This window comes from Homo sapiens, chromosome 11 (genome assembly GCF_000001405.40).
Source record: "Homo sapiens chromosome 11, GRCh38.p14 Primary Assembly".
NCBI lineage: Eukaryota > Metazoa > Chordata > Mammalia > Primates > Hominidae > Homo > Homo sapiens.
In genome coordinates this window covers 115,153,175-115,181,000 of record NC_000011.10, presented here as the reverse complement: position 1 = coordinate 115,181,000, position 27,826 = coordinate 115,153,175, and the positions used below count along the sequence as shown (strand labels likewise).

General features: G+C 46.4%; 1 protein-coding gene across 13 annotated transcripts in view, besides 1 other annotated feature; it reads left to right on the top strand.

Annotated features, from left to right (window-relative positions):
* The window catches only part of CADM1 (cell adhesion molecule 1), a 335,180-nt gene extending 323,415 nt beyond the window's left edge, over nucleotides 1-11,765 (top strand). For all 13 annotated transcript variants that reach the window (NM_001098517.2, XM_005271494.4, NM_001301045.2 and 10 more), the window contains 2 exons: nucleotides 2,226-2,357; nucleotides 4,409-11,765. In NM_001098517.2, coding sequence (NP_001091987.1) covers nucleotides 2,226-2,357; nucleotides 4,409-4,527 — 251 coding nt within the window. In that variant the 3' untranslated portion in view covers nucleotides 4,528-11,765. The remainder of the gene's footprint in view (nucleotides 1-2,225; nucleotides 2,358-4,408) is intronic.
* Nucleotides 15,838-16,380: an enhancer, noted in NCBI's record as "NANOG hESC enhancer chr11:115035341-115035883 (GRCh37/hg19 assembly coordinates)". NCBI's record gives its function as "activates a minimal SCP1, AML or CMV promoter by ChIP-STARR-seq in primed H9 embryonic stem cells {active_cell/tissue: H9 hESC(primed)}" and the evidence as "EXISTENCE:reporter gene assay evidence [ECO:0000049][PMID:30033119]".

Genomic DNA, 27,826 nt, shown 5'->3' with positions numbered 1-27,826 from the left:
CCTCTTGTGCCTAACTTTCCCCTGTCCTCAATGTCTAGTCTCACTTGTTTTCCTCCCCCAATTTTAAAACATACAGAGTTCATCGAAAGACACATAAATTTTAATAGGTCTGAAGCTCATGGCCATTGGAGATGAGTTAATTCTCATTCCCCCAAGATTCCCTATTTTGACAGCTCCCTAAGGAAAACACAACTTGCTGGCTTTTCTGTTACTTTTGTCCCCCATGAGCAATTTTGCATCTGTGCAGTTGGACTGAACATCTCCAGTGTGTCAAGCGCTCTCCTCCAGCAGACACCCCGTGTCCAGCAGCACCCCACGGGGAATGCTCCCCTTCAACGAGCTTTGTCGTCTCTAAAAAGGAAAAAAAAAAAAATCCCTTGACCGAGTTCTGCCTTGTTGAAATGACTTTCAAGACAATGGGGGTTGTAGCATCTGCAGTTGGCAACACTTTTGGCTGAGGAGGGAGATTCCTCTCCACCACTTTTCAAGTTGAGCTTATTAGACACGTTGCTGGAGGGGCTCGCTCAGCTCAGAGCGGGCTAATTGGCTGCAGTGCACTCTGCCTCCAACCCAGCTCCCTTCTCCAATTAAACTCCCATCATCCTGTTGTCCTGGGCGACCTGCTGCTGCCTCTGATTTGGCATTTCTGTTTGGGTTTTGGTTTTGGTTTTTCTGTAGTCCTTTCAAAGATAACTTAATGAAACACTTTAAATACTCCATTTTAAAATTTAAACTCTTTTAATTAAAGCACTTTTCATGGAACCCTCAGTCACGAGTTATTTCCCCACATCCTTCAGTACTTAATCTCGGAGCAGAATTGGAAATATCGATAGAAAGTGTAAATCATGCCCTCCTGCTGAAAGCGTTGTATCAGGTTTCGGCTCAAAAGAGCACCATTACCTTTAGCTGTCACGGATCTGTACACTTGATCGATAAACTTCAAATATTATTAGAGGTAGAGGCTTCAGAGATTTGCTCTGTTCTTTGGAGAGAGACAGAGATAAATCTTTCTTAAAAATTGACTTGAATTTGCACTCTCAGTCTTCCTGGTGAAATGCATTTCTCTTAGGCATCCAGCAACTGCAAGGGGGACAGATTTATAGGCCATGTGCTTCTTGTACTGAAAGATTCAAATGGTAAATCCTTCACATATGACTTCACAAATCATGTAAAGTTAAAAGATTTTTACCGTTTCTGTTGCTGCTGTGCTTAAATTGTAAGGTACAGCTAGTAAATCATTTTAATGGAGGTGTCGTACTTGACTCAATAAAAAAAAAAGACAATGGTTTAGCTTCCACTCCAAAATGTTAATGTATTAATCAACGGGAGAATAATTGTTTTTTACTACATTATAAATCTCAAATGCCATTAGGATTTCAGCAAGGGGTGATGTAGCCACATTCCTAAATTAAAATTGTTTACACTGCCATACATCCATTCTGCATCACCATAGCTCATTCTGGGTTCATTTTGGAGTTGTTCCCCAGCCAAACATGTCGTTCCTCAGTCAGAAGAAGACATCCTGAGGGGGTGATGCTTATAAAGGAAAATTAATTGCATTGCAAGGTGTTAAATAAATAAAATAAAAACCGTTGGTGGCAATGGACAATTATTCCTTGCTGTCTCTTTTGAAATAGGTTTTTAGGTTTTAAATTGAGGCTTACTCCTTCATACATCCTAAATGTAGCAAGCCTGTCATTTGTCTTTAGTCTTATAATCCTTGTTTTATCTCTAGGCAACTGTGGCTTTTGAGCACCTTACTTCTCCTATGCATATCCCTAATCTACCAGATAATAAAAGTCATTGGGCGTCTATAGAAAGATGCTGTACCCTTCTGTTGCCTAAAGGTGTCATTCAGAGCACCCTCAAATAGTCAGGTCAGCCCCCTTAATTAGGCTCTGCAACTGGATACAGACAGAGTGAACGCTAAGACTAGGTCAGGGCCGGATAGACTATTTCTTCCTTCCCTGCCTCCCTAAGCTTGTTCCACATGCATTAACCCTCCTATGCTGCTTATCATGAAATTGCCTCGTGGGGAGAACAGATCGATTCAGCACTGGACAGGTCAGCCTGTTACCTCAGTGTAACTTGATCCATCTCGATTGTTCTCTGTGACTCCTCCATTAAAAAAGAAGGTGACCCTCTGACCCTGGAGACAGTGTCGCCGGGGCTTCTGGTGCCTTGTAATAAGCTCTACATCCCTATTCCTCTTCTGATTTTAACAGATTCCCGAGCAGGTGAAGAAGGCTCGATCAGGGCAGTGGATCATGCCGTGATCGGTGGCGTCGTGGCGGTGGTGGTGTTCGCCATGCTGTGCTTGCTCATCATTCTGGGGCGCTATTTTGCCAGACATAAAGGTAAGCAAAGCTTCAGCAGACAGAAGCAGCGTGTCCCCACAGCTTCTGCCTTTGGAGACTTTACAAGGTTGTCCTTGATAGGCAATTTGATGTATGTGGCCACACGGCCTATCTGATTCCTGAAACTGGAAGAGAGAGAAGAGAAAAAAAAAAAAAAAAACAAAACCAGAAATCTTAGCAGCCGCTGATTAGGACTCTGGGAGTTGATGAGTAGCACTCCTTGATTTGGATTTTCTCTAAATATAAAGCTTTGTAGAGTTGTTATTCTGCCATCCATAATTGGGGATAGAGGAAAAATGATAAAGTAGAGGCTGGTGTGCAAGGTGTGGCATGAAGCCGCAAAGGATAAACATGGAAAAAGCACATCCACAACCTACTGTTTTCTGGGAGGCAGAGGATTTCCCCCTATCCCCTGTCCCCAGACTCTGTGTAAGCTGGTCACAATGGCGAGAAGACTGCCTTGGTTTGATGTGCCCAGGTTAAAGAAAATTTTTTGCCTTAAAAGCCGCATAAATATGTATTTTTAAAATTATCAGTGCAATTGATTTAAATTGCCATTAATCATCACACTTATCAACTGTGCAGTCTGGATGGGCAATCATCTTTTCCAATGCCCCTCCTGTCTGCCCCATGCTGCTCTGATCCTCTTCTTCCCTCTTGGTAATTTATTCTTCCTTTTCTTTGTCCGCCCCTGTCTCTCTCAGTTATTTTTCTCAAGCACTGTGCAATGAGCTTGCGGGGTTTTCTAGGTGCTTGCATACTGCTTGACTGTTGAACTTGGGTTTGGGGGAAGGTCCCTTGAGCACAGCAGTGGAGGTCTAAGGTACTTAGGCACCTTTAGGATACAGAGTGCCTGTCTCAAGCATAAAACAGTTTAGGACGATCAGAGCTGTCCATACTTCGCCCTCTGCCCACACTCAGGAGGCAGTCTGTTTGGCCAAGAGCTCCCAGCCTCTCGGTGGTAAGCTTGACAGAGACAGGAGGTAAGGCCAGAGAGCAGGGCAGCATCCGAGCAGCAGCTGTGAAGGACCAGGGGAGGGGAACATGTGTGTCACTCTGCAGCAAGAAAAAAGGATACTGAGAAGCGTTTGACCTCTTGCTTTCTCAGATTTGTTACTTTGAAAACCTGAAAATATAGCAAATGTCTCAACCTTTTTAAATAGAAGACTCTTCAGGAATACAGTATGTAATGGGAGGAAGATTATTTGATTATGGTAGGCAGTTTAACTTCTACCTATATAGCATACTGAGGTGCAGTCTTTGTTGTTCTCCATGTAAACTGTTGGGATTTGGTGATAAGAGTGTCCCCAGCTGTGTAATGTCTGTCTATTGTCATTATAAAGTGGCTGTGCCAATTAGCAAATCCATGAATCCGGGTCCGGGCTAGAGTTATACGATGAGAGAGACCTACTTGCTCATTAAGACAGATCCCAAACCTTGATCCCTGCTATTATAATGTCAAATTCTTTCTCAATCTGGAACCTCACTCTGAAGTGGAAGACAGGAAAATCAAACATACTTGTGCAAGTTCAAGCACCTTCTCACCTATGGGTAGGCAACAATGATTCATATAGACACGGGACGGTGGTTCAAATAAATGAGCTGAGGTGACAACAGAAGCATCATCAGGGCCCTAATTCATTTATTGGCTAATTGCTCTTCCTTGCTTTGGTCTTTAACAATGTACGTGCACATATCTGGTCATTGGTCATTGGTGTTTACTGTTTATACGTTAGTCAGCCCCTCTCCAGCTTTCTGCATTTTTAGCTCCCACTCACGTCTTCTTCTGCTGACATCCTCTGGTCATAATCACTGCTCTAATGTCTCATTTGCTGAATTATATCGCAGCGGTTCAGTTGGAGTGGTGCCTTTGGAACCCCCGGATCCCCCTTTGTCTCACCCACCCCGCTCTCTTCTTCCAATTGTTTTTTCCCCTCTGCTGCCTGCACACCACTTCGGCTGATGATGGCCATAAAGCAAGTTGCCATCTCTGTACCACTTTACACAGAGGCCATCAGACAGTCACGGTGCTTTACCCCTTCATCTTTCAGGTACATACTTCACTCATGAAGCCAAAGGAGCCGATGACGCAGCAGACGCAGACACAGCTATAATCAATGCAGAAGGAGGACAGAACAACTCCGAAGAAAAGAAAGAGTACTTCATCTAGATCAGCCTTTTTGTTTCAATGAGGTGTCCAACTGGCCCTATTTAGATGATAAAGAGACAGTGATATTGGAACTTGCGAGAAATTCGTGTGTTTTTTTATGAATGGGTGGAAAGGTGTGAGACTGGGAAGGCTTGGGATTTGCTGTGTAAAAAAAAAAAAAATGTTCTTTGGAAAGTACACTCTGCTGTTTGACACCTCTTTTTTCGTTTGTTTGTTTGTTTAATTTTTATTTCTTCCTACCAAGTCAAACTTGGATACTTGGATTTAGTTTCAGTAGATTGCAGAAAATTCTGTGCCTTGTTTTTTGTTTGTTTGTTGCGTTCCTTTCTTTTCCCCCTTTGTGCACATTTATTTCCTCCCTCTACCCCAATTTCGGATTTTTTCCAAAATCTCCCATTTTGGAATTTGCCTGCTGGGATTCCTTAGACTCTTTTCCTTCCCTTTTCTGTTCTAGTTTTTTACTTTTGTTTATTTTTATGGTAACTGCTTTCTGTTCCAAATTCAGTTTCATAAAAGGAGAACCAGCACAGCTTAGATTTCATAGTTCAGAATTTAGTGTATCCATAATGCATTCTTCTCTGTTGTCGTAAAGATTTGGGTGAACAAACAATGAAAACTCTTTGCTGCTGCCCATGTTTCAAATACTTAGAGCAGTGAAGACTAGAAAATTAGACTGTGATTCAGAAAATGTTCTGTTTGCTGTGGAACTACATTACTGTACAGGGTTATCTGCAAGTGAGGTGTGTCACAATGAGATTGAATTTCACTGTCTTTAATTCTGTATCTGTAGACGGCTCAGTATAGATACCCTACGCTGTCCAGAAAGGTTTGGGGCAGAAAGGACTCCTCCTTTTTCCATGCCCTAAACAGACCTGACAGGTGAGGTCTGTTCCTTTTATATAAGTGGACAAATTTTGAGTTGCCACAGGAGGGGAAGTAGGGAGGGGGGAAATACAGTTCTGCTCTGGTTGTTTCTGTTCCAAATGATTCCATCCACCTTTCCCAATCGGCCTTACTTCTCACTAATTTGTAGGAAAAAGCAAGTTCGTCTGTTGTGCGAATGACTGAATGGGACAGAGTTGATTTTTTTTTTTTTTTCCTTTGTGCTTAGTTAGGAAGGCAGTAGGATGTGGCCTGCATGTACTGTATATTACAGATATTTGTCATGCTGGGATTTCCAACTCGAATCTGTGTGAAACTTTCATTCCTTCAGATTTGGCTTGACAAAGGCAGGAGGTACAAAAGAAGGGCTGGTATTGTTCTCACACTGGTCTGCTGTCGCTCTCAGTTCTCGATAGGTCAGAGCAGAGGTGGAAAAACAGCATGTACGGATTTTCAGTTACTTAATCAAAACTCAAATGTGAGTGTTTTTATCTTTTTACCTTTCATACACTAGCCTTGGCCTCTTTCCTCAGCCTTAAGAACCATCTGCCAAAAATTACTGATCCTCGCATGATGGCAGCCATAGTGCATAGCTACTAAAATCAGTGACCTTGAACATATCTTAGATGGGGAGCCTCGGGAAAAGGTAGAGGAGTCACGTTACCATTTACATGTTTTAAAGAAAGAAGTGTGGGGATTTTCACTGAAACGTCTAGGAAATCTAGAAGTAGTCCTGAAGGACAGAAACTAAACTCTTACCATATGTTTGGTAAGACTCCAGACTCCAGCTAACAGTCCCTATGGAAAGATGGCATCAAAAAAGATAGATCTATATATATATATAAATATATATTCTATTACATTTTCAGTGAGTAATTTTGGATTTTGCAAGGTGCATTTTTACTATTGTTACATTATGTGGAAAACTTATGCTGATTTATTTAAGGGGGAAAAAGTGTCAACTCTTTGTTATTTGAAAACATGTTTATTTTTCTTGTCTTTATTTTAACCTTTGATAGAACCATTGCAATATGGGGGCCTTTTGGGAACGGACTGGTATGTAAAAGAAAATCCATTATCGAGCAGCATTTTATTTACCCCTCCCCTATCCCTAGGCACTTAACCAAGACAAAAAGCCACAATGAACATCCCTTTTTCAATGAATTTTATAATCTGCAGCTCTATTCCGAGCCCTTAGCACCCATTCCGACCATAGTATAATCATATCAAAGGGTGAGAATCATTTAGCATGTTGTTGAAAGGTTTTTTTTCAGTTGTTCTTTTTAGAAAAAAAGAAAAACAAAAACAAAAACAAAAAAAAAAAATCACACCATTGCTCACAGAATTGGCATCTCATTTTTGGGACCTCCCATCTTTCTGTTTTGAAAAGTGTACAGTAGTGCAGTGTTCCTGATGTAACTTTATGGCTTACAATGTTGACATGTCTCAGGTTCATGTGTTGCGATTGGTGTTTTCCGTCTCAGGTAGATTGCAAAGTGTAGGCCCCACACATTGGAAAAAATAATAATAAAACAAAGCAAAAACAGGAAATTATGGATTTTAGTTGTATATTGGTTTATGTATTTTTTCTTAAGTATACAGTGCACTGTTTGAAATGTATTGTTGAGTATTACTTTGTACAGGTTGATCACTTTTTTTAGAGTGAAGAAAGAACAAACTTGTTTTTTGTGTTTTTTAAAGGAATATAAAATAATGAAGGATGTATAATTGATGCCAAATAAGCTTGTTCTTTAGTCACACCGACGTCTTATTTTTCCCTTTAGGCCAGTTCTGTTTTTAAGGTGTACATGGACAATGTTACAGTGTAAGAAACTCCATATCCATATGTTCCCATTCGCATTTTGTATTGGTTCATGTATACCATTTTTACAAAAAAAAAAAGAAAAAAAAGAAGTACTATAAAATATCTGTCTTCTTAATAAAAAAAAATTAATGTTACAAAGTGATCCTTTAATCTCTTTATGGACTTCTTATGGACGCCTCCGAGTGAGAGAAGAGATGGGCCTCTGGTCCCAGCTTCCTCCTTAGGACCATGTACGGGGCCAGGAACGCTGGCAGTAGATGCTAGGACATGCTGCCGGCTGGGTTGCTGGGGGCCGCGCTCTCTCTCCTTCTCCGCTCATCCTTCCTGTCCTTGTTCTCTTCCCCACTCTCAGTGGACAGGTGAGCCAAGTGCTGTGCCGTGGCTGAGTCTGGGCTCCCACGTGGACTCAGCGATTTGTGCAGGTGTGCGAGCTGTCGTGGCGGGCCCGCCGGAACAGGCCGCTCCCGTAGATGTGTCTTCCGCACTCATCCCCTCTCTCACCGCCCCCCCACCCTCACCAACTTCCCTGTGTTGGCTGCTCCACCTGTCTCTTACTTTGGGAGTTTGTGTCTTAACAATTCATTCTGCCTTCTTCCTTGAAAGTTCTCTCTCCTTTCATAAAAAGAAGACGTGAGCTGTGGAGGACTGGCTTGGCTGCCTGCAGAAGATTGTTCTCACTTGCTGTTTAGGTTGCTGAGACTTCCAGGCCTGGGTAGACAGCAGGATTTGCTCTGTTGTCATCGTCCTTGCCTTGCAGGCTGAAGTGAGCAATGACTACACTTCATGGTGGCCGATCTTATAAATGTGCAGATAACGTCTGGCCAGGCCCAAAGTGCCCTTTTCCCACCATCCCCTCAGCTGTGGTTGATGAGTTCCCCTTTTCTCCCTTGGCCACGTCATGGGGAAAGTTCCATAGGAAAAGCAAAGGTAAGCTCCAGAAAGACTGAAGGCTGTGCATCTCCCCTTGAGCCACTTCCATCCTGGCCTGGTCTCTTACCTGTCTCTGTTAAAAAAAAAAAAAAAAAAAAAAAAAAAAAAAAATCAGATATGCAGTTATTGAGCACCTGCTGTATGTCCAGCATGGTGAGGGATGCAGAGAAGTATAAGGCGGTCTCTGGAGGCCAAGTAGAGCATCAGTTACATCACCTGAAAACTTGAAGTGACCCTGAGCCATGGGTGCCCCACTGAACACAGAGAAGCCCAGAGAGTGCTATGAGAATTTTCTGGAGAAGGGTAATCAGTGAAGGCTGGTGAGTCCCTAGACAGCTTCACAAAGAGCTGGGACCCCAGCTGGATCTTAAAGGATGGTTTCGTGGAGAAGGAATGTGAGTCAAAAGTACAGAGGGCAACAAGCCCAGCCAGCCTGCTGATTTGTATGGGGAGAAGAAAGCAATTCCGTGTGCAGGGTGGGATGGGTCTTGTGGCTGTACTGAAAAGTCCGGGCAGAGGACTCGATACTTCAGTGACCTCTCCCAGCCTCTGCCAGAGGGCAAGGAGCAGTAGGGAGTACTCATTCATTGCATCTCTATAAAAAGACCCAGAGAGATAGAATAAGGATCAAAAGCACACACTAGAGAGAGGCTGCCTGCATTCAGATCCCTGTCCCACCATGTAGCAGTGAAACCTCGGGTGAGTAGCCCAGCCTACCTGGCTTCAGTCTCTTGCTCTGCAAGGTGGACATCACCATAGCCTCGAAGGTTGTTAGGAAAGATCAGTGAGATATGCAGTCAGCGCTCAGCCAAAAAGGTGCCAGACACACACTACTTGTTCATTACATGTCAGTCACAGGATAGAGGCAAATGGTGACTAAAACGATAGAAGGTTACCCAGGGCTACGAAGAAGCGGTCACTACTCAGAGGGAGCTCTGAGGGCTCCTCTGCATATAGACACATCATGCCCTTGCAAACCACGACTTAGAAGGTTTAATGACCCTTTTCTCTTCACCATTCATTAGCAGACTTATTCCAAGCCACGTGGCATGCAGTATGTTTAGTCTCCCCACCCCTCTCCCTCTTGTCTGCAGCATGAGGCTCCAGCTTTAGCTGTACCCTACAGAAAAAAGTCCCAGAAGTTCCTTGAGCTGAGGCAGACAGGAGGTGGTGACTGCTGTACATTTGCCTTTTGAGCTCCACAGGGTATGCAAATGAGAAGGTGCTAGAAGCCGTCCCCGCTCAAAGGATCTTGATAAGTTGCCCACTCCTTCATTTGAGAAGAGTGCGTACGAGAGTGAAAATGGCCCTCGTTTCCCCCAGAGAGTTTTCACAAATGTTTTGGCCTGGCATTCTCCAAATACATCAACTGGAACCCTGAGGTGATATGCGGGTGTTAATTGGTGCAATCTTTCACTGTCCTCTGTCTACCTGAAATGTAATTCTTTTACCGCTGTGGACTTGCTCCATGGAGAAATGCTCCTTTGATTCTGTCATCAAGAACCTCAAAGAAACCATGTGGCCACTGTGTTACAGGTAGAAAGACCCTGCTTAAGTGAAGGTATTTTTGTTTTATTATAAAATCATGCCCAAGATTAATACACCTTTTTGCCAGGATCCCAAATACGCAGCCCTTTGTCATGAAGAACTGGCAGCCACATTCCTTCAGGGTGAAATTTGTATTCACAGCCATACATGTATAGTTTTTGAAGCGCTGGCCCCCCGTACAGGAGAAGAAAGAAGGGACTCTTGGCTCATCCATGACCTTGTAGGTCAATACCATATTAAAGTTCCTGTCAGGCACGCAGTAGTCACCCAGCAAGTATCAGCTGATTAAAGGGAGAAGAGTCGAGCACCTGGCTGACTGAGCCTTACGTTACACTTAATCTGAATGGGCCACCGATGCTGTATTTCAAACCTTGATGTTTGCATGTCCATCCTTACTACAGGTGGCTTTCAGGTTGGCCGTGAAGGGACAAGCCAGCCAGTCCTGAGTTTAGAGCGATTGGCCCTATCATTCTCAAGGACCCACTGGAATAGTATCAGGGAATATCATTTTGGGTAATGGCCAAGCAAAGCCTTAGTATTGCTATCATATATTGTGAGGGGCCTTCAGAATGCAATATGGCCTCTTTTAAAAATGCAAACTATAGTCCTTGCCTTATCTGTGTTTATCTCAAAATGTTGAAATGTGCCTCTAATAGGAACTGCAGGATTCAGTCCCCCCCCACCACCCCCCACCCAACACTCACATCATTACACATGAGCATCCCTGAACTGAGACCTGAAAGCAAGAATCTTCTCTGTTTTCAGGTGTTCCAAACCTCAGCTTCCAGCCTCTTCAGTACACAGGAAACTTTGTTTCATTTTTATGTTTTTATTTATTTTTTTCATTCCCAAAAAACATAAAATGTCTACTGCCCCTGGTGGTCAGTGCTGGGAAATACAACTCGAGCCTTGCCTATTGAAATGCAGAATGTATTCCAACAAGGAACCTGACATTGTCTACTGCTTTTTCTCTCACACACATGCACACCTACCTGCGCCTCCCATTTTACTCCCTCCTAATCCTTCGAAGTGTTGATCTGGGGAAGGTGAGAACCACTACTGAGGGGCAAATCAACCGGTTCTCTGGGCCCGGGACTTCAGCTGCCCTCCAGACGTGCACAGGCTCACAGTCATATTTCAGACGTGACCGCCTCAAATCTTCCTTAAGTGCTATCTTCTCAGGTTAATTAATCACCAGGCTTAAACTTGCTGTTACCAGCAGGAAGTCCATCCTGAAGTCAGCAATGTTACGATTGCATCTTCTAATACTGTTTATCCTGCATTAGTGTTTACTTAGGGGGAAAATTGATCCGTAATTGATATTTCAGTCTTCCAGAGCTGGTGTTGGAAGAGCCTAATGCAGGCCTTTAATAGCAAGCAAATATTTAAATCCCTTAATGGTTGCTGAATATTGAAATGTGTGACTTTATTACTCTTTTTGGTTTGTTTTCTCTGTAGTTGTGTATTTCATCGTTTAAACCTGCAATGGATGCTGGCAAGTGCAAGTCTAGCTAATCCACAAAAGCTGTTTGCCCAGACACAGCAGACCTGATTAAAAAGTATTGCTATGGAAGGGAATCTTCTGCACTAATCAGTCTCTGTTAGCTAGTGACGAAATTACTATCCATCTCTCTCTCTTTCTCTTTCTCTCCCTCTCTCTAGGCCTGTTTTCTCTAACCTCCTCTCCCAGAATAAAGTGATGAGGGCAGCTATAGTGTTGCAATTAGGAACATGAATCTTTTATCGTTTGGACAAGGAAGGGAAAATGCCATTACTGTCAACTGAAATGTCCTACTTGGGTTTTTTGCTCCTACTTCCCTGCCAAAGCCCATTGCTGCTGCTGAAATTGTATAACATTCACAGCTGTTCTTGATGGCTTGATTCTTAACACAGCCAGAAATGTAGCCCGGGAGATGCTTAAGACAGTTTATGGAAAATAATAGATTTCCTTGCAGAGACACCAATGCATCGAGAAGGGCCTTGAGTCACGTTAGCCCCAGCCAAGATCACCAATTTTCTCTCTATCTGGCTTCAGTTACAAAGGCTATGCCTTAAAAAAAAAAAAAAAAAAAAAAAAAAAAATGCAGACCCTTTTGAATTCTCTGTGTTTTCCTGGTTGGTTTCCATCAGCACCCACAAGTCCCTGGCTATGGCACCTTTTGTCTCACCACTCACCTGCAGCAGCCGTGAGACCCAAAAAGAAGCCTACAGAAGTGGAAATAAAAGGATGCTACTGAGGGGAGAAGAAGAACTCCCAGGAAAGCCACCCGATGAGAGCTGAGACTAGGTCTACCACCAGCTGGGTGCTCCAGAGACAGACGGCTACGTTGGAGGCCACCCCTACAGTCCCAGCACATGGGTGGGGTCCTTCCCTCCCTGTGTGGCATCCCCGCGTGGCCATCAGGAATGTCAAGAAGTGGTGTAGTTAGTTCCACTATCCTCATCACTGTGCCCTGACCACTCTCAGCCCCAGCCCTTAGTTAGGAACTTCTGGGATTGGCACTCCCTTTGGCAGGTAAAAGGGAGTGGCTTCACAGTCACAAACATTGGGAAGGATGCAAGAATGAAACAGCAAACAGTGCCTCACAAGTTTGCAGCTTTCAGACTGTTTCTGCAAAAGCATGTCAAAAGCCATGTGTCTCTGCCCCACCGTGTCTCCCCAGTCGTGCCTGGAAGTAAAGGTTGGAAGATACAGGCTGGCAGGCAACGGCCAGCTCTCTCTCCCTTTCACTCTAGTATCACCCGCAGACACCCCCAGCGAGTGCCACCACTCCCCCACTGTTTTCATTCTCAGCTTCTCCTAAATGGAAACCATTAATCATACTAAATTGTGCAATGATTCCGTGATAGGGAGAATGCTGATGGCAAAAATCATTCTCCTTTGTTGTGCCAGGCAGGCAAAAGGCAGAAGTATTAGCTCGTCGCCCTGCCTGGCTCCTTGCAAATGCTGACCATGTGTTTGCCTACGCAGCTGCCTCTATGCACACAGCTTATTTTAGCACTGGTCTAAGGCATGCCAACTGTTGACAGAAAACAAGGCCACCTCTTCCTTAGTCCCAGGACTGCCAGGAAGACTGTAACTGCTGGTGCTCCCTGAAGTCTCTCCCATCTCAAGGTCCCCATATCAGAGGTAGGGGTGATACAGGACTCGTGGGCAAAACCCAAGGTGGTCTCAGATGGGGTGAGCTGGTGGGGTAAGCCGTGCCCCCCATGCAGTTCTGCCAACTGGATTGCAGAAGAAGCCAGGTGTGGGTACCAAGGAGGCTTTTTGCCTTTCAGAATTTGATGTCTGCTTCACTTTCGACAAGGCTCTTTGTAAGCCACCCCTTCTGAATTAGAATCATTTTCCAAAAGCTCTTAAGCTATGATTAATGCCAGGGCTGTTTTTAACAATCATCCTGCCAGTCTTAAGCTGTAGTCATTTTCAATAATTTGGAGTGCTCAAAGGCAAGCCAGGAGTTTGTTGACAACAAAACCCGTAAGAGCACAGCCAGGCAGCCACAAAAGATGGAAAAGCAAAGGGACCATTTGGGCTTAGCTGGCTTTCTGCTCCCAGAGTTTCACCACTAAAAGTTTGATTGAACACTCACAGTGCGTTAAGGATCCAACTGTGAACATGGCTGGGCCAGAGGGCTGCCAGGCTGGCTTTTGTGTGAACAAACAAGCAGTGTGTTTGGAGGGCTCCGGGTTTATTTATGGACATGTGTGGTTCATTCATGCCATCCCCAAACCAGAGTGTCCTCATTTGTCTCCCCTCTGCCAACATGGAAGACCAAGAAAGAAATGCAGTTGCTTTTCTTTGGGGCTGTTTACCTCCCATGAATGCCGAGCAAGTCTCTGGCCAAGATGTGGGAATCCTGCTCTGTAGATGGCCCCGGCCATTTCCCCAGCCATGTGTGTTAAACTAGTGTTCTCTTTTTAATCTTGGCAATTTCATGGTAGAGTATCCATCTGTTTGAAAAGCCCAAACTGAAGGAAGCTACCGTTTGAAATGTCTGTGATTACAGATTTACTTAGACTCAGCTTCCGATAGCACTTATTTCTAGCTCATTACTTCCTCCGGAAGGAAAGGGTCAGCTCTGGGTGATGGGAGTTTAACCCAATGAATTTGGTGTGATGGATAGATATTTGTGTCTCCACTCGACTCTGCCATCACACCAACTATTATGTAGGGTGTGTTGCCAGCCAGGGAGAACACAGATGCTTGAGTATAGCTGGGAGCTTTTATTAGCTAACTTCCAATAAACTCCCTTCAACCATGAATCACAGCAGAGCCTCCGCCCTGCACTCCACGTGGCCTTAGCAGTATCTATCACACCCCCTCCCTGTCTCTATTCACTTCAAGCCCCTTTCTTCTGAGGCAGAATGAACAGATTTCTAGTGTTGGGCTTCTAGAGCTGTGTTTCTGTCTTGGCTAGAGGGACCCGAAAGGAAACTCGTAACCTATCCGGACTCTGTGTCCCTACACCCAATAAGTGTTTGCTGGGTTTTCCCAGCAACTTTTCGGGGGAATCTTTGGGACATCATCCCCCCTAGCATGGCACCCGCTTTAGGATCCTGAGGCTTGGGGAAATGAAAAGCTTCCTCCAAACTTACTTCTTCCTTTATATTCCATCTGATTTAATAGCATGATCAGTCTCCCAAACTGGAAACCTGGGTTATTTGCCTCCAGTGGTTAGCAATTCCTGCCCATTGCCCCCCTAATGCTTATCAAACTTGACCTGAATGCATCATTTCCATGTCACTCACCTGGTCCAGGCCCTTTACCTTCAAACAAAAGAATGTGGCAGCCTCTGGACTGGCTTCCCCTCCTCCTTCCCCAGCCCCATCACCAGTCCCTCCCTTGCCAGGGAACCACTCCTGGTTAACCTTTGACTGCAGCCTAAATCCAAATCCTCACAATCTGCCATCAATTCAGTTTGGACTTTCAGTGTCACCCCGTGATCCTCCACTGCCCCTGGCCCCTGGCCCCTACCCTATCCCACCTCTGTGCCTTTGAATATTCAGGGGTGTCCTCTTCCTTTTGAGAATGTCTCTGCATCCTTCGGGTTGCTTCTCTGTGCTTTTTCAATTCCTCATGCTTACCTCAATTTGTGTCCTTATCACATATCTGAACTGTTTGTTTACCTTTCTGTCTCCCTCAATAAAAACAGTAAATTCCTTGAGAGTAGAGACTGTATCTGATCCAGCTCTGTATCTCCGAAGCCAAGTGCAGTATCTGGCCCTGTGCTCAATAAATTATTGAATAATAAGAGAGAGATTTTTTTTCATCCGTGGTTGGATGGGTCTTTCAAGTGTCTGTCTCTTTCCTAGAAATATCTTGGTAAGCCCTGGGTCTCCTTTTTCTTTCTAACCAGCAATTTTAAAGTTTTGAGAACTCCCTCTGTATGCTTCGTTAAATTTTTGTTTGGGTTTGGTTTTTAAAATTTTGTTTCTTGCTCTGTCATCGTCAACATCATTTTTTCCCCACGTCTCCCTTCTCCTATCTCTCTAAGCTGTTTTATCCATTAAGGTCAGAAAGCACAGTGCCTATGCCATAGAAACATTTCAAGAGCCTGTGAACATATCTGAGACCTGGAAAGAAAAAAATGTATATATATGAGCTCTAAAATCCAGGGAAGGCAAGAAAACTGTAAAATCAAATGTATTAAATGTTTAATTAAATATCTACAAAACCATAACGTTGTCATCAGCAAACTGCAACCTAACGTAACTGGTAAATAATCAGAAACTGTATTCAACGTGGGACTGTAATGTATGTGACATAGTGTGGAATGGAGGCTTCACAAAAAGAGGTTCTAGGGCCTGCACAGGTTTCAAAGCAGTCTCTCCTCTGTCTTCCTTCTTTTCTTTTCCTCTTTCTCTCCCTCTCTTGTTAACTGTGTCTTCTCTGAATCTTGCACTGCAACTCTGAGCACGTAGAGCAAGTTCTGGAGGGAGCCACCACAGAAAAGAACCAGACCTGCCACGTAGGCAGAGCAAACTGTCGCATGAACCATCAACGCCTCCTGGAAGCCCAGAATTCTGACATATACACCTGGGGGTTCAGGATGGAAAGCTGATCTGCCCAAATATGCAGAGTGCACTTTCAGCTTTCATTAATGACTGATTCTCCTGGGTCCAGCAATGGCAATCTGTAGAGATATCTGACCTGCACACCCAGCTTCCAATGTGTACAGCAAATTGTCAGTGTGGACACCCTGGGCTGTGGAGGGCAGGTGACTTTTCTTCCTGCTGCTGTTTTCCGGCTTTGGGGTTTTGTTTTGGTGTGTGTGGGAGGTGGCAGGCTGGTGTTGATGAGCTCCGACTCCAGGAGCCAGTATTCATGAGTAGTGTTTCCAGCTGTGCCTCTGATTCAGCCGTGACCTTGGGCAAATCGCTTCTTCCCTGGGCCCTGCTCTCCATCTGTAAAAAGCCTCAATCCCAAAGTGTTTGGAGGTATTTGTTTGTAAAGTACTTTGACATCTCAGATCCAAGGCGCGGTAAAGAGCAAAAATACTGCTGTTTTAAAACCCTAAGGAAAGTATGGGTTGCCCTCTCTTGAGTTGAAAATTAAAAAGCTGTAATAATTGATGACTAATTCCATTGTTGCTTTATGATGTCCTCACCATCCTGGGATCATCCAATTTTTGCCTTTTTCCTTTATAAAAAAATAAATAAAGGTTCCTTGGTGAAGAATGGCTTTCATTTAGTAAATAATTTTGACTTGTGTAATTACTTCTGTGACTTTTCTTAACAACCTCGCTTCACTGAAAAAAAGCCACACACCTCCCCCCCCGCCCCTCCCCACTGTAGCCTTCCATCCCTGGTGCTTCATAAAGTAATTGTGCAATTAGGAAGAAGTGGCTGGAGCATCGGGTTTCTCTATATTTTAAGTTGGGAGTCTGACTTTGACTCCCTGCTTGCTGGAGTGGGTGAGCCAGCCCATTATTAAAAAAACTATTATGCTGTTAAAAAATCAGGAGCTCCACAAGTGAAGAGCATCGATTGGCGAGAGCTGGTCAGTTATCACCAGAAGGTCCTGACAACACACTAATAGGTTTTTCTGAAGATCCAATCAAATTTTCTAGGCAGAGGCTTGAGGTGTTCCACATGGGATAATGCTTGTCCTGGGCGGTATTGATTTCAGCATGTGGCTCTCTCTTCTCTCCCCTCTTACTGGCTCCCACTCTTCTCCTACTGTTATTTTTTTTTTTTTTTCTGGTAATAAAGACTTGAGCTTTGTATTCCATGTTAACAGTCTGATGGGGGAGGGGAGAGCCTCCCAAGCCTCATCTGCCCTTGACTTGGTGCCTCCCTGCACCATCTCCTTTGTTACTGTATTCCTAGAGTCAGATACATACAGCATCACCTGCTCTGCTTCTCCCTGACCTTGTGGATTTCATTCTTGTAGCTGCTTCCAGCCCAGCCAGCAAACCCTCTTAGAAGAAATTCTGTTAAAAAGCCTTCTGGGAAGTAGGAAATGAAACAGCTTGAAGTCACACAGGTTTCTGGTATCCCTACCCCACAAGTAAAGAATTCCCTGGGGCAAGGAGAGGGTGTTGGTTTATGCATACTCCTTTGTGTGCGTGTGTGTGTGTGGTGTGGACGTGCATGCACACACAGTGGTAGGGACACAAGCCTACAAGATGCAGCGGTACAGACTTAGGAATTGACCAAGCTACAGGATCAAAGGGGTGCACAGGGATGGATGCGGACACTGATCCAGCCTACCCTCTAGCCAAGCTTTGTGTCCTGACATGGAGTTGCAACTTCTTGGAGGAAGGGATATCTTTTTTTCTAATTCACACAAAGATGTCTGGACCATCAGTGGCCTGGAGAGATGTGGTGGAGACTCAGAGCCTCCAGGATCTGGAGTAACTCTGCTACTGTGCACGGATGTATCTGAACACTGGCCACTCCCCACAAACATCCCTGGATGAGACGAAAGTGTTAGCGGTGTATTAGATTGATGCAGAAGCAGCTGCGTTTTTTGCCATGACATTTTTTAAGTGACAAAAACCACAATTACTTTTGAACCAACCTAATAAAACACTCCTTGTACCCATTCCATGATTTTAGTATTTTCATTGTACTCAAGGATCCCAGGGCGGCTTTTCAGATCTATCAAGTTGACATTCACTTTGCTCACCCAACCTCTCTGCCAACTCATCTCACCCAAGCCTCTGCACATGGCCTAGATGGAATGCACCTGGCACGTCTTTGCTTGTCCCTCCCTTCTCCCTTGCTTCACCTCCCATACCTTTTGCAGAGCAAGGGCTCTGTTATCAGCAGGCTGGGGTTCAAATCCCAATTTCTTTACTTAATAAAAGTTGACTTTGGGCAAGTCTCTGAGTCTGTTTCTTCATCTTTAAAATGTCCACCTCACACCTTGCCATGGGGCTCACGTGGGTTAAAATACTGTGCTGTACACAAATATTAGTTATAGGTTCTCAAACTCTTAGGTTCCAGGAGGCTTACCTTCCCCCTGGGGCTCCCTAAACCCCATAGGTAGCTCCTAACCAGGTTCACGCCAATTAGCACTTGGTTATATACTGACACGTTTTTCTCTCATTGTTTCCAGTGTGTGTTTTGTCTGCACAACCAGGCTGTTGGTACCTGGAGTAGCAGGGTCATATCATACACTTGTCTTGGATTCCCCACAGCCCTCCAATATGCTGAGCACACAGTGGCTACTCGATAACTCCTTGACTTCCCTGGGTATCTATTGTTATAAAATCTTTAGTCTGTAGCACTTCCCACCTAGGAAGAGACTTAAATGGAATCTGTAGCTTTGGTTTCGCTCATCCAATCACAGAACACAGCCTGTCAGATCTGCAGAGCACCCCCAGAGCTCATCCCGTCCAACCCCTTCATTTTACAGACTTCGATTGCAGGCAGCCTCACAGAGGAGGACCAAATACCAGCCACCCGAGATGTTATGTTCCTGACCCCCAAGCTCCTCCAGCCACGACACCAGAGCCCAGTTAACAGAGGAAACCCTCCTCACCCTCCCCAGGCAGCATGCTGTAGGGAAGCCATTCTCAAAACATAGGCACTGGGCCTGCCACCTGGTGTCACCTGAGAGTGCATTAAAAATGCAGATTCTCAGGCCACCCCCCCCTCCTCCCGCCACTTCTACTGAATGAAAACTAGAGCAAGGCCCAGCCATCTGCATTTGCTCTGGTCCTCTAGGTGATTCCGATGCCTGCTCCACTGTAACAGCCACTGACTGCTCTGGGGGAAGAGCTCTGGACTTCAGCCAGCAGACCTGCATCTGGGTCCAGGCTTCACTCCCAGTGTCAGTGTCTTCATCTGCAAAGCAGGAAACACAGCACTCACCTCACCAAGCTTTTGTGTGCCTTAGCTGGAATCACACACTTGGCACACAGTAGGCACTTAAGAAATGTTAGCTGCTTTTGAATTGCCACTTGTCTTGGGTGAGTGGATGAATGGCTGATTGCAAGGCTGATTGGAGGACATGCAACTTTCATCACCTTCATCAGGAAAAACAAATCTATTAAGTGGCTAAATGCATGATATTCTGTTCTCTACATGGGGAGGAAAAAAGGCATTCCATAAATCAGGAGTGACTACAAGGTAGAGTGCAAAGGCCAAAGATTTTGCAAATAGGAGGATCGTGGTCCAAAGCCCACCTCCATCACCATGTGCTGGCTACGCGATCTGGATAGACTTATGTTGGCACGCTCATTCATTCAGCTGATATTCTGGGGCTCCTACTATGTGCCAAGCAATGTGCTAGACATGGAGAACACACAAGGGAACACGTTGGTTAAGACCCTATGGCGGATCAAATAATCCACCTGCTCCTCTGTAGGTCTCAGCCCCCTTGCAGTTGGGCAGAGTGCGTGCCTCCTTTCTGTGCTGCACCTGCATTTTACCTATGCCCACATGATTCCCCAATGTTTCCCTTGCCTTGCTGCAGCCACTGAAAATGTCAATGTTCCACACGGTGCAGACACAAGGTACTGAATCCTCCCCTGTCCTGGATCTCTGAGTGACAAGGTGGAGCAGAAGCCTTTGCTCAACCCCACAGGACACGTTACATGAGGGAGAAACATAAGATTTGGGATTTATGTTTCCACCACAGAGTCCAGTCTCTCCTGACTAACACAGACCCTGTCCTGATGGGGCTTGCATTCTAGTAAGACAAACAACACACACAGTTGAGCACTTCATTACAGTTGTAAGAGGTGCTATGAAGAAGCCATGGGTTACTGTGAAGTCATATGTGAGTGGAGCCTTATCTAGGAGGTGGGGATGGGGGTGTTGGAGGTTGTCAGTTCAAGGAAGACTTCTCTGGAGAAGTGTTGAGACCTGAGGGATGAATACGAATTGTTTAGGTAAAAAGGGAAGGAGAAGTCAGGTTCAAGGAGAAGAAAGAGCCTCTGCGAAGGCCTGGAAGTGGAAGGGTGTAGGATGTTGACGAACAGGCCGATAAGATAGGAGTGCCGAGAGTGAGCAGGGGTGAACAAGAAGGTGGGCTAGAATCAGATTATGGAGGATTTTATGGGCCAGGTTAAGGATTTGGGATTTTATCCTAAAACAAATGGCAAACTGGAAATTTCAAACAAGGCAGAAGCAGGAAGTCTGTTTTTCAAAAAGCTTTGAGCCTTACCTTCCTCATCTGTACAGTGGGCATAATAATATATACGCTTCAAAAAACTGTGAGAATGGGATAAAGTAACCTCCATTAAACATGGTGCTGAGCACACTGTTAACACTTAAAATGATCCAGCCCTTTGTCTTTGTCTGGTTCCCTCCTGCTTAGAGCTCGCATCTAGCACACGTTCTCTGGCATGCTGTCTTCTGGAGATGCTGCAATCAGCAGGAAGAAAGCCAAGATATCTTTGCAACGAAATAATGACAAACCTTTACTGAGCATTTACAGTATGACAGTTGCAGTTCTAAGTATTAACTCAGCACAACCCTATGGGATAGATACAATTATTACCCATTTTACAGATGGGGAAACCCAAGCACAAAGTGGCTAAGCTATTTGTTCAGGACCACACAACTGGTACATAGTAGGGCAGGGCTCACGCCTGTAATCCCAGCACTTTGGAGGCCGAGGCAGACGGATCACGAGGTCAGGAGATTGAGACCATCCTGGCTAACATGGTGAAACCCCGTCTCTACTAAAAATATAAAAAATTAGCTGGGCTTGGTTGCGAGCGCCTGTAGTTCCAGCTACATGGGAAGCTGAGGCAGGAGAATGGCATGAACCCGGGGGGCGGAGCTTGCAGTGAGCCGAGATCGTGCCACTGCACTCCAGCCTGGGTGACAGAGCGAGACTCCATCTCAAAAAAAAAAAAAAAAAAAATAGCAGGGAGAGATTTAAACCCAGATACTTTGAGTCCAAGGTCCTCGCTCTTAGTCACATCTTTCATTCTCTCTTGGAAAGAAATGAGCTTTTAGGGAAACAAAGTGTTTAGAGGGAGCTGCTCTGGTCAGATCCAAGGAGTAGGAGGAAGAGATGGACCCAGCCACTGATGCTGAGCAGAACACCTGTAAGAAGCAGGGCGCACCCTCCATGCTCTCAGACCATCTGCCCATGAGAGGCAGAAGCTGGACCTCACAGCCAACCCAGGGCACTGCCCAGTTCCCAGCCACCCTGAGCCAGGAAGTGAGGCAGGTTCTCTAAATCACCTTTATCCGCCTCCAAGTTCCTTCTAGAGATGGACCCTTCAGGGACAGCCCAAGGCACACCTCCCAGGTCGCTGCTTGGGAAGACCCTGGGGGCCGTGGCAAGGCCTTAGTGGGGGCAAAGAGGATGCCCTCGAGCCTGGTGTGTGTCCATGGCATCGAGCCTGAGGCATATGCTATCAGGAGAGCCCCAGGGGAAGGCCAGCCTCACTGGGCTTTGAGGTAAACACACAGGATGGCCGCCCTGCCCTGTCACTCTCTGCAGTCAACCAGAAAGTCAGAAAACGTGCCCAGCGACCTGCGAAGCAGATGGCTGAGAATATCATGTGTATACAATATTTATGAAATGTGAGCTGAGCAGAGCTGTGGCTGAGACTCCCGTCCCAGGCAGAGTAATTCAGCCCTGTGTGATGAACAAGATTGTAATTGGGGTAGTTCCAATTTACTAACCATTTGCAAAAGATTACATACCTCTCACATATTATCCTCTCCTAATCTTACTTTAATGAACACTACTCTATCTGGATGTATAATTTCAGGGCGGGGGAAAAACAATTTCTAGCCTAGAAGGCAAAGCTGCAGCTAATACATTAACATCCAAATTAGAGAGAGGGAAAGTAATTGTGAGATCTATAGCTAAAGTAATTTAAAGGCGCCCTCCCCTTCCATGCAGAAAAAGACAGATGTATAGTGGAGGCAGTTCTTATTACTACCAGCGACTTTCCAGTAAGGGGTGAGGAACCTCCCTCCAAGATGGCAGCCTCACCTGGAAACGTTCACTTCACTTCAAGGGACTCCAGATGAATGTGTTTCTCAGCTGAACTTCACTGGTGGAAATGAGCCATGCTTGTATTAGGAAGGAAGCGAGTCAGACTAGCAGAAGAACTTCCAGGGAGTAAGGGTTGTTGGTAAGCACATCTTCCCCAAAAGCCTAAGGCTAGGAGGGATCCTTAGGGTGAGTTCATGAACCCGTCTTTATCTCAGTTTCATCATCTGTAAAATGAGGCTGGAATAGAATAATAATGCTTCCCTATTCATGCCTTCATTTGGTGAATGATTTTATTGAAATCTGCTTTGTGCCCAGCACTTTTCTAAGTGCTAGGGAGACAGAGTGTTTTTTGTTTGTTTGTTTGTTTTTAAAGAAGTTCTTGCTCTCAGGAAGCTTACATTTTCATGGGGAAAGTAAAACAAATAAATAAGACAAGGGTAGGGTGCTTGCGTCTGGGATACTCATGACAGGCTCACGCCTCTTCAAAACCAAGGGTGACCCAATTGATTTCCCAGGCAGTGGACCCAGGGAGTCCCTGGAACTGCTTTGCTGCCTCAGTCCTGAAGGGGACTGTCCAGCGCTGAGCCATCCCCACTCTTGCACTGCTTCCCTCTGTGAGGCGTGGGCTACAATTGAAGCTTCCAGAAGGCAGCTGCTGCTCAGCTCACATCCAGAATGAGGGTTGCAGATGGCAGAGAACCAGTGCCCAGGGCTCTGCTACCCAGAGTGCTGTCTCTGGCGGACGGTGGTCAGCAGCCCTTCCTCCCCTGTACCTTGTGAACTCCAGGAGGAGGTCAGAGAATACAGCCAATGAAAGGCAACACTTGCAATCCTGGAAATGTCCTTCCGGAACTCCTTCCTGATTCCCATCTGCAATGCAGAGCAGGACTGCAGGGGAGAGATGCTCAACTGTGCTGCCCACTCCCTAGGACTCACCAAGTCCCCATCAGGGTGGATGGGGCGGGAAAAACAGCCAAAGCCCCTGCATAAAGGGCCAGAACGTCAGCCATGTTAGAAGCACATACTGTGTGCCAGGAGAGGACGGCACCCCACCTGAACTTCACTGGCCATACCTTGTGGTCTGGGTCAGAGCTTCCCAGGACAGAAGCACAGAGGCTTTGTGGATCCCAGATGTGATACTGTGACACCCCTCCATGTCCTAATCTCTGATCTCAGGAATAGCAGGAAAGGGTTATGGCCAGAGCCCTGGGCCCCATCTCTTAGGAGCCCTCCCCAAGCACCCCTTTCTTGGCTTCCCTCCCCAGTCCCCCTTCCACTCTCACCTAATTGCCTCTCAGAATTGTTTGCCAGGGTGAGGGAGACTGATTGAATCCAGGAGCTCTGTTCTGATCTTGTCAATCAGACCTGCCCACCTGCCTGTGCACACACAAGCCTGCTCTCTCCCGCACTCTGGCCCTTTGCTTGCTCTCTGGCCTCCACACTTTCTCTTAAATAAACACACACAGACACCCGGACAGTAAGGCACAGTCTGTCCAACTTGCCAGGAAGCCTAGAAAATTCACAGCCACTTAAGCCCACATTGGAAGGAATGGGACCCAGGGCTGGAAGCTTGGAGCTGCAGCTCCTCTCTACTCTCTGCCACCTCAGGGAGCGAAGGGCATCCAGTTGCTAGTTCCCCAGGGCCATCCAGAGAGAGTTTGGACTTGGTGAAAATATTCAAAAGCCTTTGTATTAATAAGTGCTACAGACTAAATGTTTGCCGCCCACCCCAATTCATCATCAAAGTCGTAATCCCCAATGTGATTGTATTGGAGATGGAGCCTTTGGTCGGTAATTGAACTTGGATGGGGTCATGAGAATAGGGAACCCATGATGAGGTGGTGCCCGTATAAGGGGATAAAGGGAACGGAGCTCATTCTCTCTGTCCTGTGAGGATACAGAAAGAAAGCAGCAGTCTCTAAACCAGGGCCCTCACCACCAACAAAATCTGCCATTGTCTTGATCTTGGACTTCTCTGCCTCTAGAACTGTCGGAAATAAATGTCTGTTGTTTAAGCCAGTCAATCTATGGTATTTGTTAAAGCAGCCCAAACTGACTAAGACAATAAGCAATAGAGCTGGACTGGACCCCCTTCCAGACACCGGACTCTGCCTGGTAATTTGGCAGGCTCCCCAAGCAACCCCATCCCTTAATAGCTGGCCACAGTTTCTGCTGTTGCAGATGTGTGTGCTGCTGGTCAGCAAATGAAGGGGGAGAGGGGATGAGCAGAATCTAAGCTAAATAAACAAAATAAGAGAAGGAAGGAAGGAGAGAAGGAGGGGAAGACAGAAGGAGGGAGGAAGAGAGGGAGGGAGGGAGTATGTTCAACTCAGTACTGTGCATACTAAGCAACTGCATAAGTGAGTGAAAGTGGGGCCTCACTGCTGTCTTCTCAGAGGTGATGTGGGATGACCAACCATCCCAGTTTGCTAGGAATAAGGAGGCTCCTGGGACCGGAGACTTTGACTGCCAAAACCTGGGCTGGGCCCACTTGGTGACTATGGAGGGCTCAGTCCCATCTCCCTGCAGCCTGAGCCTTAGAGTAAGGCTGTGTTCTAACAGCCCAGAAGGAGCCCAGGGACAGGATTCTGGTAAGGGATTATATTACCAAAAAAAAAAAAAAAAAAGACCTTTTCTTTGTTTCTCCTGCTCCTGTGTTTATACTGCTTCTTCCTTATCTTTTCATAGTCGTAGTTTTAGTAGTGATAATGGGGTAATAATAACAGTTAACACATGTAGAGTGCTTTTTATGTTGCAAGCACAGTTCCAAACACTCTAGAGACCCTGACTCCTTTAACCTTCCTAATTACCTTTGACATAGGTATTGTTATTGTTGCCATTTGCAGATGAGAGAACTGAGGATAAAAAAGGTTCCCTGTGTCCAAGGATGCCAAGCCCACAGTTGGTGGGTGCTGCTTGCCCTGTGCCTGGTTCTAGTGGCTCCTCTCTCCTTACTCACCTGCAGCCTTGCCTCTGCGCCTTTAGCCTGGGGTTCCCATTCAGCACCCAGGAGCATCTCAGCCTCCTATTCCTATGGGGACAGTGGGTTGGGAAAAGCAGTGGCAGTTGGGCTCCTTTCTCTGAAAGCCATATGACCAGGAGGGCTTCTGTTGTGTCAGGGGCTGAGTGGCCAGGGTGTGGGCCTAGGTCTTTGCAGCCTTTGAGGTATTCAAGTTCCCAGGGCTGTGAGTGGGGCTCTGAGGCCACCTCCCCTCTGTCCTTTGAGGGGTGGCAGCCCTGCCTCTCTCTCCCAGGACTTAACAGCCTGTGCCACTATGCTGTCAGGAAGCACGTGGCCTTCTGGCAGTGACTCTCCAAGCCTGAAAAAGGAGCAAAAGGAATATTTGATCACAGGTGGCTGCTGTCAGCGCTGCTGTCTCTGAAGTCCTGAGAGTCGGGTGCTTCCTGTCTGCTAGGAGTCCTGTGAGGCCCCTCTTCATGTCCGTAGCCCGAGCCTGGGGCCCTGCAGCCACCTCTGCAAAGGGAGCACGTGAATCACGCCTCTCGCCTCTTGGGTGTCACCCCTGTGAGGCTGTGTAGAAATGCCCTCAGAGGGCAGGAGAATGGCATGAACCTGGGAGGCGGAGCTGAGCTTGCAGTGAGTGGAGATCATGCCACTGCACTCCAGCCTGGGCGACAGAGTGAGACTCCGTCTCAAAAAAAAAAAAAAAAAAAAAAAAAAAAAAAAGAAATGCCCTCAGAGACAACACTCCCTCACCTCCCCTTCTGCCTCTTTCCAAGGAGAGAGGATGTGTTGCTTGGACAGAGTGTGCCTTTTGAAACCAGCCAGGCTCCGGGTTGTTTTCAACGCTCATGTGCAGCTCCTGGTGACCTTCCTCTGTGTCCTCGTTTTCAGGCTACAACACCCACCTGCTAGGTCTGAATCAGGGGTTAAGTGGAACATCATGCCCAGAGTGCCCGGATGCGAGCCAGGCCCACAGAAGGAACTCAATCAACAGTAGAGAGAATTCAATCAGGTCGGGAAGCTCAGAGCGTGGTGGGGTCCATCCACCCTCTGAGGAGGCCCCATGTATGGCTCATCTCAGACTCAGGCAATACTGTGATTCTTTAAAGTTCTATAGAAAAAGAGGTTTTGAAACCTCCTGTTGTATCCAATTTCATGTTTTAACAACTCCCCTCTGTGATAATTCCTTTTTTTAGGTCGAATCTGAGTCCCTCAAGCTGCAACTCGAGTTAATATTCTTTTGTCTCCTTTTCAGAAGAGATTGAGAATCACCCGCTCCCCTTCTGGTATTTCTTCAGGAGCATGAGGACTTTAACCTTCTCCTCTCCAGGCTGTGGAGCAGAGAGAACGATCGTGCTCACTTGCTCCTGGTCCTGCTTCTGAGGTCCAGACCTTAGAGACCAGGGGCCCTGTCTGGCCCAGACGCAAGAAAGAGAGTCTGCCTCGGGGGCAGGGACCAGGACCCAGGTCCTCAGATTGTCTGAATCTTGCTCCCATAATCCTGTCTCCTGTACCCAGGCATTCTGGGCCACAGCCTTCTCCGAGTTCTTCGCATTCTGAAATTCTTTGTTCTTTTTCCTGAATGAAAAGGTGGGTGGGGTTGAAAAAAAGAACTTTCAACGAAGTCTAAACGTGCCTCCTGAACTGGGCCATCTCCCCTGGGTTCAGGGCTGAGGCACCAGAACGGGGGCTGCAATCCGCGGGACGGGAGCGCGGGACCGGGCTGGCCTTGCCTATGCCCCTGCCCAGCGCACGCCCCGGGCCTCCCCAACTCCTCATCTACAGGCGTCCGCTGCGCTTCCCAGCCACTTGCCGTCCCATAATCAGCACCATTATCTCTGGATAATTTTCCCTCCTCTCCGCGATGCGGCCTGTGAAAAGAACCCGAGGAAGGACCGTGTTTCTGGGACTCCGAGGTGGGGGATGTGGTCTTGATTGTAAATGAAAAATTAAACCCGCGTGTCTCGCATTCAAGCTGGAGCGATTGCGCGACGGACGCTGCGCGTCCCCAGGCCGCCCCGGCTGCCTGAAGGGTAGCATTGATCTGACTACCTTTTCTTTGGCTTGCCTCTGGTTTAGCAAATCTATAATGCATTTAATCTCCGAAAGCCACCACGCTTGGCTTTAGTTACCTAATTTGCTGTCGAGAGCTCCTGCAATTCTCTTCCCGCCAACGACGTTTAACTCAAGGCTTTTGTTTGTCCAATCAGCCGGGCTTTCCTTGCGGTGGAGGGGGTGGGAGAAAACAGCCCACGAGGGCGATCGCGGGCTGAGTCCCCCACTGCACCCCTCACCCTCAAGCGGGCGGCCTCAGGAGCCCAGGCATCCCCCACTGCGCCCCTCCCACCCACCTGGATTCTGTGCCTTCTTCGTCTGACCTGAAATCCGTCCTCCGTGTGCCAGGCATTGTGCCTGCCGCTGCAAAGATGAGGGGGAACAAGTTCCTTCCTTAAGGAACTGGCAGGCTGCTTGGGGGACAAACCCATACACGAATAATTACCACACAATGAAATAAACGTCTTAATAGAGGTGTGTACAAAATGCCAGAGAGAACAGAGAAGGAAGTGACTCATCTTCTCTTGGGAAGATGATGAAAGCTTTACAGACAAGGTGCAATTTCTGCATCCTTGCAGGGTAAGCAGAAGTTCATTAGGTGGGGTGGTGGAGAAGGCATCCCGGCTGGGAACAGCTTGTGCCAAGAAGGGGACCCTTTGGGAAATGGGGAGGAGCGGGT